Source organism: Homo sapiens, chromosome 15, assembly GCF_000001405.40.
Source record: "Homo sapiens chromosome 15, GRCh38.p14 Primary Assembly".
NCBI classification, from domain to species: domain Eukaryota; kingdom Metazoa; phylum Chordata; class Mammalia; order Primates; family Hominidae; genus Homo; species Homo sapiens.
The window spans coordinates 28,417,838-28,430,546 of NC_000015.10; the positions used below are offsets into that span (position 1 = coordinate 28,417,838).

Sequence of the window (12,709 nt, forward strand, 5' to 3'; positions counted from 1 at the left end):
TACTGTTTCACATATTCTCGTATATATATATTAAAAATCTTTTTTTATTTATTTTTTATTTTTATTTTTTTTTGAGACGGAGTCTCGCTCTGTCGCCCAGGCTGGAGTGCAGTGGCGCCATCTGGGCTCACTGCAAGCTCCGCCTCCTGGGTTCACGCCATTCTCCTGCCTCAGCCTCCCGAGTAGCTGGGACTGCAGGCACCCACCACCACGCCCAGCTACTTTTTTGTATTTTTAGTGGAGACAGAGTTTCACCGTGTTAGCCAGGATGGTCTCGATTTCCTGACCTCGTGATCCGCCCGCCTCAGCCTCCCAAAGTGCTGGGATTACAGGCGTGAGCCACTTAGCCCGGCCTAATTATTTGTTTTTTAAAAGACGGTACATAGGAAGAAGTGAATCAGGAAAAGTGGATAGTGATTGGTGGCAGTAGAAGTGAGTCAGTGTTACAGTTACTATTGCTGCTTAAGAAACTAACCCAAATGGCCTGGGCGCCGTGGCTCACGCCTGTAATCCCAGCAGTTTGGGAGGCTGAGACGGGCGGATCATGAGTTCAGGAGATCGAGACCATCCTGCCTAATACGGTGAAACTCTGTCTCTACTAAAAATACAAAAGTTAGCCTGGCCTGGTGGTGGTGGGCGCCTTAAGTCCCAGCTACTCGGGAGGCTGAGGCAGGAGAATGGCGTGAACCCGGGAGGCGGAGCTTGCTGTGAGCCGAGATCGCGCCACTGCAGTCCAGCTTGGGCCACAGAGGGAGACTCCGTCTCAAAAAAAAAAAAATTTAAAAAAAGAAAAAGAAAAAAGAAACTACCCTAAATTTAATAAGGTAAAACAACGACCACTTCATTATATCTCATGGATCCTATAGGTGAGAAATTCCAGCAGGATTCATCTGAGTGATTCTTCCTCTCTCACATCATTAACTAGGGTGACTCAGTGCTAGTCGGCTGGCAAACAAGTCAGTCTGGAAGGTGCAAGGTGCTTTTTTTCTGTCTTATAAATTGGTGGAGTTGTCTGGAAGGCAAGGCTCAGATGGGAAGGACTCTTAGTTATAGTGCCTGCACAGGGTAAACTTTTTTTTTTTCTTTTTTTTTTGAGACGGAGTCTCACTGTCCCCCAGGCTGGAGTGGTGTGGCCCGATCTCGGCTAACTGCAAGCTCCGCCTCCCGGGTTCACGCCATTCTCCTGCCTCAGCCTCCCGAGTAGCTGGGACTACAGGCGCCCACCACCAGGCCCAGCTATTTTTTTTGTATTTTTAGTAGAGACGGGGTTTCACCGTGTTAGCCAGGATGGTCTCGATCTCCTGACCTCGTGATCCACCCGCCTCGGCCTCCCAAAGTGCTGGGATTACAGGCGTGAGCCACAGCTCCCGGCCAAGAAGGCTCTCTTAAAAGGAATCACTTCTTGTTTTCTTACAAGTTATAACCTCACTACCCTAGAGTCACATTTTTTAATAACTTATGAATTTTCTGAAACTTCAAATACCCTATGGCCCCATGGTAAAACATCAGATGACATTTGCCTCTCATTTAAACCATTTTTCTTTTCCTCTTTCTTCTTTATTTTTCTTATACTCTCTCCTCATTTCTTTTTCTCTCTTCCTATTTCTCTTTTTCTCTCTGCTTCTTCCTACCTCCCCTCGTGACTTTGTCTCCTCATCCCATCACCGTGCTACTTAGATGCCACATCAATTTGACTAGCCTCAAATTTACAATGAATACTTTTTAAATTCATGCTTCTGAAACTTTTAAAGGATGAAGAGGTATAAATGTCTCAAATAATAATTTGCTTGATGGCTGAAATGAATGGCATTTCTCAAAAAGGCCAAGGGACTGAATACAGAAATTTAAACAATAACTTTCCGTTAGTGATACGGTTTGGATGTTTTGTCCCCTCCAAATCTCATGTTGAAATGCGACCTCCAGTGTTGGAGGTGGGCCTAGTAATAGGTGTTTGTTTCCCAAGGGTGGATCCCCATGAATGGTTTTGTGCTGTCCTCCTGGTAATGAGTGAGTTCTTGCTCTATGAATTCACGAGAGATCTTGTTGTTTAAAAGAGCCTGGCATCTCCCTTGCTCCCTCTCTCCCCATGTAATATGCCAGCTCCCCCTTTGCCTTAAGCCATGATTGTCAGCTTCCCGGGCCTCAGCAGAAGCTGAGCAGATACTGGTGGCCTGTTTGTACAGCCTGCAGACCATCAGCCCAAATACTCCTCTTTTCTTTATAAATTACCCAGTCTCTGGTATTCCTTTATAACATTGAGATGGACTAACATAGTCAGTTTTGACAACATGAACCTTTCATATTAAAATTTAATTTCTAAATTCACTCATTTACTGTGATTGGTTTATAGCTTTTCTGTAATAATGAATTTTACGTGTGACTTTCAATGTGATTTAAAACTTGATTCACTTTTTAGCTCTATTTTTGGAAACTACCAGCTTCCACTGTTGAGGCAAAAGTGTCATCATTGAGGCTCTCCTGCTGAGGTAGCTGTTGTCTGATTTCCCTTCAGTTCTACTGCTGTCCCAGTGGAAAAAGGGAATCTTCACCACTTACATGACATGTTTGCCTGAACTCTAATCTTCCACACTTGCTGTAGAAAAGAGTAAAGTGGCAGTTCAGGGCAGTTTACCAATTTAGAAACGGTGTCCGCTCAGTATTTTCCTCTGTGTCACTTACTAAAACATATAAAGAAACCATGGACATTAAAAGAAAGAGAGAGGTTTAATGTGATATTTTAATTCTAACAAGGATTTATGGGCACGTGAATGCTCAAAATCACATACTCCCTTAGTGTTTTTCATCTCACACATATCACATCAGACACATATCACACACATCAGGCACATATCACACAGAACTTACCATAATTAAATTATCAGTTTTTGAAAAATATTATCATTTGCTCTCTTTTTTTCTATATAAATAAATTTTTTTAAAATATGATTTTCAGTTCTGGGATACATGCAAGGAACATGCAGGTTTGTTATATAGGTATACATGTGCCATATAGGTGGTTTCTTATTTGTGCTTTCATCTTATGGCTTTGGCTAGAACTAGATAATAAAAGTATGCATCAATTTAAGAGTTATTTTTAATCATGGTAAGGACATATCTATAACTACTTTGTTAAATTTCATCAGTCATGCATGTTAAATATCATTAAATAAATATCAAAAATGGGCTGCTGTACCAGAATACCATAGACTTGGTGGCTTATAAACAACAGAAAGGAATTTCTCACAGTTCTGGGGGCTGGGAAATCTAAGACCAAGGTACTAGCCAATCTGGTGTCTGGGAAAAACTTTTGTTCTAGTTCAAAGAAGGCTGCCCTTTCTCTATAACCTCAGTTGGGGAAGGAGCAAGGGAATTCAGGGGGCTGCTTTAGAAGGGTGCTAAACCCATTAATGAGGGCTGCTCTCTCATGACTTAATTAGTTCCCAAAAGCCCCACCTTCAAAAACCCTCACATTGGCGGTTAGCATTTCAACATATGAATTTGAGAGGGATGTAAACATTTAGTCTGTAGCAGTAAATGTACAATATAAAGTAAATAGCTTTATTGTTGTGTTGCATTATATTAATATATATTTTCTAGTATTAAATCTTTGTATGCCAAATCACTGGGGTGGGTGATTTCTTAGTAAGTGTAGAATTCAGTTCCTTTTTCTTTCAGTTAAGAATATTTTAACTATGTTTATAAGGGATACTGTTTAGTAATTTTATTCTTTTTGTATTCACTTCATCAAGAGTTAGTAATAGTTATATTTGCTTTGTAAAATGAACTGAAAGGAAGCCACTTTTTATAACTTTATCCATATTTCCTAGTTTGGGGTCCATTTTACAAGATGTTTTAAACAGATGCTTATTAAAAACACTGGTTATAGGGACTTTAATAAAAATTTTTAAAATAATGTTTTACATTTCTTGCAAAAATTGATGCCTGCAACCTATTTACTGTTTTTAAAATTAAATTAAGATTCATTTAAGCAGTACATGTTTATTTTAGTGAAACACGTATTTAATTTTCTAAGATAGTATTTTTTGTCTTTAAAACAATTTCTGCATGTTTTGTTTTTTTTCACTTTAAATTTTATGTTTTCTCAGTTTTTGTTTTATCACATTTGCTATATTTTTCTGTATCATGGGTTATTTGTTAAAGAATGAACTTGTGTATGTTTATAAATTGTTACTGTTTTTGTTTATAATTTATTGCCTTCTAACTTAATATGTAATTAGCATTCCTTTTAATTTTGCTTGTATGCTTTGCCGTACCATTTTGAAATTCTTGAGTTAAATGCTTAACTATTTTTTATCAAGTTTAAATATTAAATTAAATATGTCCCATCAGTTTAGTCATTTTAATATTCTCACTCATCAGACATTTTTTGGGAACACCATATGCCTTTTCATGCAGTCAGTTTCAAGAAAATGAAAATTACTTTTTATATGTTTATACTCAAAGCTTGGCTAGAGATAAGTCTCCCCTTCCTTAAGTTGGGGAGAAAGTGATTTCTTCCAGGCTATAGTCAAAAGAGATACAATTATAGTAACTTTTTGTGTTTGTTTGGGTTGTTTCTGTTTGTTTGTTTGTTTGTTTGTTTGAGACGGAGGTTGGATCTTGTTGCCCAGGCTGGAGTGTAGTGGCATAATCTCAGCTCACTGCAACCTCCGCCTCCTGGGTTCAAGCAATTCTAAACATATTTTAGCACAAAACTGTTTAAGATTTCAATTTATATCTTTTTATTATCTTCCATATACTCTTTTGATACATTACCCATTATGTTGATTATTAACGTACACTCAAGTCAAGATCTTTTATTATGTGAGGTCATCAGTCAATGATAACAGATATTGATGAATTAGTCTCCTCATCAGAAATTGAGCAACATTTTCATTCAAGACGACACATGGGCCTTTAAAGCATATTCAATAATACTGAGTCTCAGTGTTCTCCTGCTATTTTCTGAATGTGCATTTAGACCTTTATACATCTATCTATCTACTGACCCATTTATTAAATTTTCAGCATTTACTTTGTACTCCAAGGACCAGAACCATGTTTGTCTTGTTCACTGCTGTACTCCTATTGCAAGGACCTAGAACATAGTAGGAGCTCATCAAACTCTGAGGTTTCAAAATAAGTGAATAGAGGTTGTAGCAGGAAGAAGTCTAAGATAGCCCCTATGACCTTCATTTCCTCATGTTACCCTGTTGATACCTCACACGGCAAAGGAGTCTTGCACATGTCACTAAGGCTAATAATCCGTCAGCCTTAAGACGGGGGGAGTATCTGGGTAAACCTAACCTAATCACACCAAAACTTCACAATCAGGGAGTTTTCTACAACTGAGAGTAGAATGGGAAGTCAGAGAGTTTCAGAGTCCAAGAAGCATTTATAGCACCCTTATTGACTTTGAAGATGCTTTGCTTCTTCTTTTGAGTTCAGTTTGAGATTATCTTTCTAATAATTGATTAGATTTTATTCTTGTAAAACAAGAGATAATTTAAAGGAATCTATTTTTAAATACTCTGAGGAGGGTGATACTAGGGGTGCTGGTTGTCCTGTTTTAACTTTGTCTTAATTTCTAATGTAATTAAATTTTGAGTAGGTAATGTGACCTGTGTGGTTTTTATTTTAAAAAATATGTTGAGGTTTTATATAATCTATTTTTAAAATATTCAATGGAAACTTGAAAACATACTGTTTCACATATTCTCGTATATATATATTAAAAATCTTTTTTTATTTATTTTTTATTTTTATTTTTTTTTGAGACGGAGTCTCGCTCTGTCGCCCAGGCTGGAGTGCAGTGGCGCCATCTGGGCTCACTGCAAGCTCCGCCTCCTGGGTTCACGCCATTCTCCTGCCTCAGCCTCCCGAGTAGCTGGGACTGCAGGCACCCACCACCACGCCCAGCTACTTTTTTGTATTTTTAGTGGAGACAGAGTTTCACCGTGTTAGCCAGGATGGTCTCGATTTCCTGACCTCGTGATCCGCCCGCCTCAGCCTCCCAAAGTGCTGGGATTACAGGCGTGAGCCACTTAGCCCGGCCTAATTATTTGTTTTTTAAAAGACGGTACATAGGAAGAAGTGAATCAGGAAAAGTGGATAGTGATTGGTGGCAGTAGAAGTGAGTCAGTGTTACAGTTACTATTGCTGCTTAAGAAACTAACCCAAATGGCCTGGGCGCCGTGGCTCACGCCTGTAATCCCAGCAGTTTGGGAGGCTGAGACGGGCGGATCATGAGTTCAGGAGATCGAGACCATCCTGCCTAATACGGTGAAACTCTGTCTCTACTAAAAATACAAAAGTTAGCCTGGCCTGGTGGTGGTGGGCGCCTTAAGTCCCAGCTACTCGGGAGGCTGAGGCAGGAGAATGGCGTGAACCCGGGAGGCGGAGCTTGCTGTGAGCCGAGATCGCGCCACTGCAGTCCAGCCTGGGCGACAGAGGGAGACTCCGTCTCAAAAAAAAAAAAATTTAAAAAAAGAAAAAAGAAACTACCCTAAATTTAATAAGGTAAAACAACGACCACTTCATTATATCTCATGGATCCTATAGGTGAGAAATTCCAGCAGGATTCATCTGAGTGATTCTTCCTCTCTCACATCATTAACTAGGGTGACTCAGTGCTAGTCGGCTGGCAAACAAGTCAGTCTGGAAGGTGCAAGGTGCTTTTTTTCTGTCTTATAAATTGATGGAGTTGTCTGGAAGGCAAGGCTCAGATGGGAAGGACTCTTAGTTATAGTGCCTGCACAGAGTAAACTTTTTTTTTTTTTTTTGAGACGGAGTCTCACTGTCCCCCAGGCTGGAGTGGTGTGACCCGATCTCGGCTAACTGCAAACTCCGCCTCCCGGGTTCACGCCATTCTCCTGCCTCAGCCTCCCGAGTAGCTGGGACTACGGGCGCCCACCACCAGGCCCGGCTAATTTTTTGTATTTTTAGTAGAGACTGGGTTTCACCGTGTTAGCCAGGATGGTCTCGATCTCCTGACCTCGTGATCCACCCGCCTTGGCCTCCCAAAGTGCTGGGATTACAGGCCTGAGCCACCGCGCCCGGCCTGCACAGGGTAAACTTCTTATATGGCTGCTGGCTTTCCGCAGATCAAACACTCCAAGGGAACCAGGTGGAAAATGCCTGGTCTCTTTTTATCTCACTTTAAAGGTCAGGTAGAATTATTTGTCATACTCTATTGATTGTAGCAGTCACAAGCACGTCCAGATTTAGGGAAGGGAGACATAGACCTATTTTTTGATGAGAAGAATATCAACCTGTTTTTGGACTATGTTTAAAACTGCCACACATGACAATTACACACCAGGTAGAAGGCATTTGGGGACAGACTTGAAGGAAATGAGGAGGAATCGTGCTCTGCTGAAAGAAGAGCATTCCAAAGAGAGACCACAGCTTGGGCAAAAGCCCTGAGTTGGAATCATGTGGACTTATTCTTAGAACAGCATCGAGGAAGCCATTATAGCTGGAGTAGAATGAGAAGGGGGAAGAGTATTAGTAGATGGTGGCAGAGAAATAAACATGAGAAGACGGATGATGGAACGAGCACCTTGTAAGTCATTTTAAGGACTTTGGCTGTTCCTCAAACTGACATGGGACCATTGAAAGATTTTTTTATTTTTTATTTTTTAAATTTAACTTTTAAGTTCAGTGGTACACGTGCAGGTTTGTTATGTAGGTAAACTTGTGTCATGGGGGTTTGTTGTACGGATTATTCTGTTACCCACATGGTAAACCTGCTACCCACTAGTTGTTTTTCCTGATCCTCTCCCTCCTCCCAGCTTTCACCCTCCTTTTCAAAATAAGACATACATGCAGCCAACAAACATAGAAAAAAAGCTCAGCATCACTGGTCATTAAAGAAATGCACATCAGAAGTACAATGAGATACTATCTCACACCATTCAGAATGGTTATTATTAAAAAGCCAAAAAATAACATGTTGGCAATATTGTGGAGAAAAGGCAACATTTCTACACTGTTGGTGGGAGTGTAAATTAGTTCAGCCATTGTGGAAGACAGTGTGGTGATTCCTCAAACACCTAAAAGAACTACCATTCGACCCGGCAATCCTATTACTGGGTATACACCCAAAGGAATATAAATTGTTCTGTCATAAAGACACATGCATGCATATGTTTATTGCAGCGCTATTCACAGTAGCAAAGGCATGGAATCAACATAAATGCCCATCAATGGTAGACTGGATAAAGAAAATGTGGTATATATACACCATGGCATATTATGCCACCATAAAAGATGAGATCACGCCCTTTGTAGGAACATGGATGGAGCTGGAAGCCATTATCCTTAGCCAACTAATGCAGGAACAGAAAACCAAATGTTCCCACTTAGAAGCGAGAGTCAAAGGGGAGAATACATGAACACGTAGAGGGGAACAACATTGAAAGATATAAGCAAAGAAGTGATATCATCTGAATTGCATTTCTGAGATTTCTCTGGCACTTGTGTAAAAAATAGCTGAAAGGAATCAACGGCAGAAGCTGGGAGACCAGTTAGGGAGCTTTTGCAATAACCATAAGAGGAAATATGTGTGGCTTAGACTAGGAATCGTCAGGTTGGGAGTGCTCATATTCAAATGTGGTCAGAATCCGGACATTTTGAGTGAGCCTACAGAAAGCTTTAATACTATCTCAAACTAAAGGATATAGAAGGTTTTCCCTTTCTCTTGCCCTGAAACCTTCTGTATCCTTTATTTTGAGATAGTATTAGAATTCTTACTATCTTACTGACAATTCTCACTATCTTGTTTTATAACTTGGAACATGATTATAATTATAGTATTGTTAAATATTTTATTTTTATTTTATAATTATACTTTAAAAATATTATTTTGGTAAATAATCATAAAATATGAAAAATAAATCTTTCCATTAACTGAATCAATTGTCCCCTTGCAGGATTTTGGCTTCACAACTTCCTAATCCTTGAAATATTAATTTTGATTATTTTTCTAATATGTACCCATATGTCTTTGAGTAAATTTTTATTGGAAGGACAAATCAGTGCTGGATATACAGATGCCATTGCTTCGTACTCAGGTAAAGACAACCTGATATTTATGATCCTCTTGATCATATTTTTATTCTCTTAAAATCTTTATGTCTTCTAATAATGTTAACAGAGAAGAAAAAAAGTCTTATCTAAGCCTGACTTTTTATTTTTAAGGAAGTTTTTTTCTTTATTTGTAAAATTCAGGAGTTTGGCTAGTTGTTATTTAAATATGGAGAACTCTTCCTTGTTTCTTCCCCCTCCCTGCCTAGAAACTGGTTGGTGCTTTTATTATTCGTACTTCAGTGATAGCTTTGATTATTGTTTCAGATCTCCTTGCCCTTGTGTCTTTCCCTAGTACACAAACTATTCTCGAGGTGGAACCTGTGGTCTCTGGCATACCCATCCGCCTTCTTCTCTGTCATTAGTTCATCTCTTCTTTTGCCCTCCAGAGCTCTGATTCAATTGCTGCTTGAACTTTTCAGTGTGTCAGTTTCTTTCTCCACGGATTTCCCTGTGGATGGAAAATCTGCCCTTGCACTTTAGTTTTCATAGAAGCCTCATCTCAGCTATCTCCCATTTTGTGATATGAGCCTCTTTTGTTATTGTAGCCTTCATCTCCTATTTCCTAAATTCCATGTGTTTCTACATACTGTTCATAGACAAATAGTTTAAAGCAATGTTCTATAGTTTCTTGTGGTTTGAAAGTCATATATTTTTAAATACGTTTTCTCCCCCTGAGAATTCAGCATACAGTTTCATTTTTCTTGTACGCAGGATGATTTTTAGGATTTTTTTTCTGTTATTTTTTTCCATTCTGGTTACCTAGAAGGTAGTGATTATTACCCCAAACCAGGGTTTGATACTGTGTTAGTCCACTTTCATACTGCTATGAAGAAATACCTGAGACTGGGTAATTTATAAAGAAAAAAAGGTTTAATGGACTCAGTTCCACGTGGCTGGGGAAGCCTCACAATCATGGCAGAAGGCAAAGGAGGAGCAAAGACATGTCTTACATGGTGGCAGGCAAGAGAGAGAGCATGTGCAGGGGAACTCCCCTTTATAAAACCATCAGATCTTGTGAGACTTATTCGGTTTCACAAGAACAACACAGGGAGAAACCCATCCCCATGATTCAGTTACCTCCCACTGGGTCCCTTTCATGACATATGGGGATTATGGGAGCTACAATTCAAGATGAGATTTGGGTAGGGACATAGCCAAACCATATCATTCTTCCCCTGGCGCCTCCTGAATCTCATGTTCTCACATTTCAAAATCAATCATGCCTTCCCAACAGTCCCCCAAAGTTTTAACTCGTTTCAACATTAACTGAAAAGTCCACAGTCCAAGGTCTCATCTGAGACAAGTCCCTTCCACCTATGAGCCTGTAAAACTAAAAGCAAGTTAGTTACTTCCTACATACAATGGGGGTACAGGCATTGGGTACCCCCAGTGTATTTACACCTGTTCCAAATGGGAGACATTGGTCAAAACAAAGGGGCTACAGGTTCCATGCAAGTCTGAAATCCAATAGGGCAGTCATTAAACATTAAAGTTCCAAAATGATCTCCTTTGACTCTGTGTCTCACATGCAGGTCACACTGATGCAAGTGGTGGTCTCCCATGGCCTTGGGCAGCTCTGCCTCTGTGGCTTTGCAGGGTACAGCCTCCCTCCTGGCTGCTTTCACTGGCTGGCATTGTCTGTGGCTTTTCCAGGTACACAGTGTAAACTGTTTGTGGATTACCAATTGGGGGTTTGGAGGGCAGCGGCCCTCTTCTCATAGCTCCACTAGGCATTGCCCCAGTAGGGACTCTGTATGGGAGACAGAGCCCACATTTCAATTCTCTACTACCCTGGAAGAGGTTCTTCATGAGCCCCTGCTCCTGCCCCCGCACCCCACCAGAGCAAATTTCTGCCTGAACATCCAAGTGTTTCCATACATTCTCTGAAATCTAGGTGGAGGGTCCCAAACCTCAATTCTTGACTTCTGTGCGCCTGCAGGCTCAACATCTTGTGGAAGCTGCCAAGGCTTGGGGCTGCAACCTCTGAAGACATGGCCTGAGCTGTAGCCTGGTGTCTCCCACCCCAGCCATGGCTGGAGTGGCTGGAATGCAGGGCACCAAGTCTCTAGGCTGCACACAGCAGGGGGACCTGGACCTGCTCCAGGAAATCATTTTTCCATACTAGGCTTTTGAGCCTGTGATGGAAAGAGCTGCCGTGAAGGTGTTAAGGTCTTTAATGTTCTGGAGACATTTTCCCCATTGTCTTGGTGATTACATTTGGCTCCTTGTTACTTATGCAAATTTCTGCAGGAGGCTTTAATGAAAGTCGGTTTTTCTTTTCTTTTCTTTTCTTTTTTTTTTTTTTGGATTGGGAGTCTCACTCTCTTGCCCAGGCTGGAGTGCAGTGCCGCAATCTGGGCTCACTGCAAGCTCCGCCTCCCAGGTTCACGCCATTCCTCAGCCTCCCAAGTAGCTGGGACTACAGGTGCCCGCCACCACGCCTGGCTAATTTTTTTGTATTTTTTTAGTAGAGACAGGGTTTCACCGTGTTAGCCAGGATGGTCTGGATTTGCTGACCTCGTGATCCGCCCGCCTCAGCCTCTCAAAGTGCTGGGACTACAGGCGTGAGCCACCGCGCCCGGCCAAAAAATCTTATACATTATAATGCTCAAATTTTATCCTTTAATAAGTCATAACGGAGAAACATGCTAATGATTTCACAATTAAATGTGACGTTCATTTAGTGTTTTGCTTTGTAATATTAAATATTTTATTGTTTTCCATGTGATACCTTTTCCTTTAAAATTCTACTTTATGTGAAATCGATGATGTTATAAATAGTCTTTGATTTTTACTTTATTAATCTTTGTACATTTTAATATCGTTATACTTACAGGAACAGTTTGTACACTTCATGGAAATAGAGTAGAGTAATAGAGTTTGATTATTTGTTTTGTTTTCAGCTGAGGGTTTTTTTTTTTTTGGTAATTTCAGTCTTAGAGTCTTTCTTTTCAGCAGTTAGTGGTATAATTCATATTTGTTTCTCATAGCTGATTTTTTGTTTTAACTTTTGTGAACTTGCTTATAGTTTCTTTACAACTATTAGGCCGGTGCAAAAGTTATTGAAGTTTTCACTAATTATTATTATTATTATTATTTTGAGGCAGACTCTCCCTCTGTCGCCCAGGCTGGAGTGCAGTGGCGCGATCTCAGCTCACTGCAAGCTCCGCCTCCCGGGTTCACGCCATTTTCTTGCCTCAGCCTCCCGAGTAGCTGGGACTGCAGGCCCCGGTCACCACGCCTGGCTAATTTTTTGTATTTTTAGCGGAGATGGGGTTTCACCATATTAGCTAGGATGGTCTCGATCTCCTGACCTCGTGATCCGCCCACCTCAGCCTCCCAAAGTGCTGGGATTACAGGCGTGAGCCACTGCACCCGGCCTAATTATTTGTTTTTTAAAAGATGGTACATACGAGGAAGTAAATCAGGAAAGGAGGATAGTGATTGGTGGCAGTAGAAGTGAGTCAGTGTTACAGTTACTATTGCTGCTTAAGAAACTACCCCAAATGGCCCGGGCGCCGTGGCTCACGCCTGTAATCCCAGCAGTTTGGGAGGCTGAGACGGGCGGATCACGAGTTCAGGAGATCGAGACCATCCTGCCTAACACGGTGAAACCCCG

The 12,709-nt window shown here is 40.7% G+C and overlaps 1 non-coding gene across 1 annotated transcript; it reads left to right on the forward strand.

Annotated features, from left to right (window-relative positions):
* The first annotated feature begins 8,653 nt into the window (after positions 1–8,653).
* On the forward strand, positions 8,654–8,747 carry MIR4509-2 (microRNA 4509-2). Its single transcript, NR_039733.1, has one exon. It is a non-coding gene; the product is annotated as a microRNA 4509-2 (primary transcript).
* Positions 8,748–12,709: the final 3,962 nt, after the last annotated feature.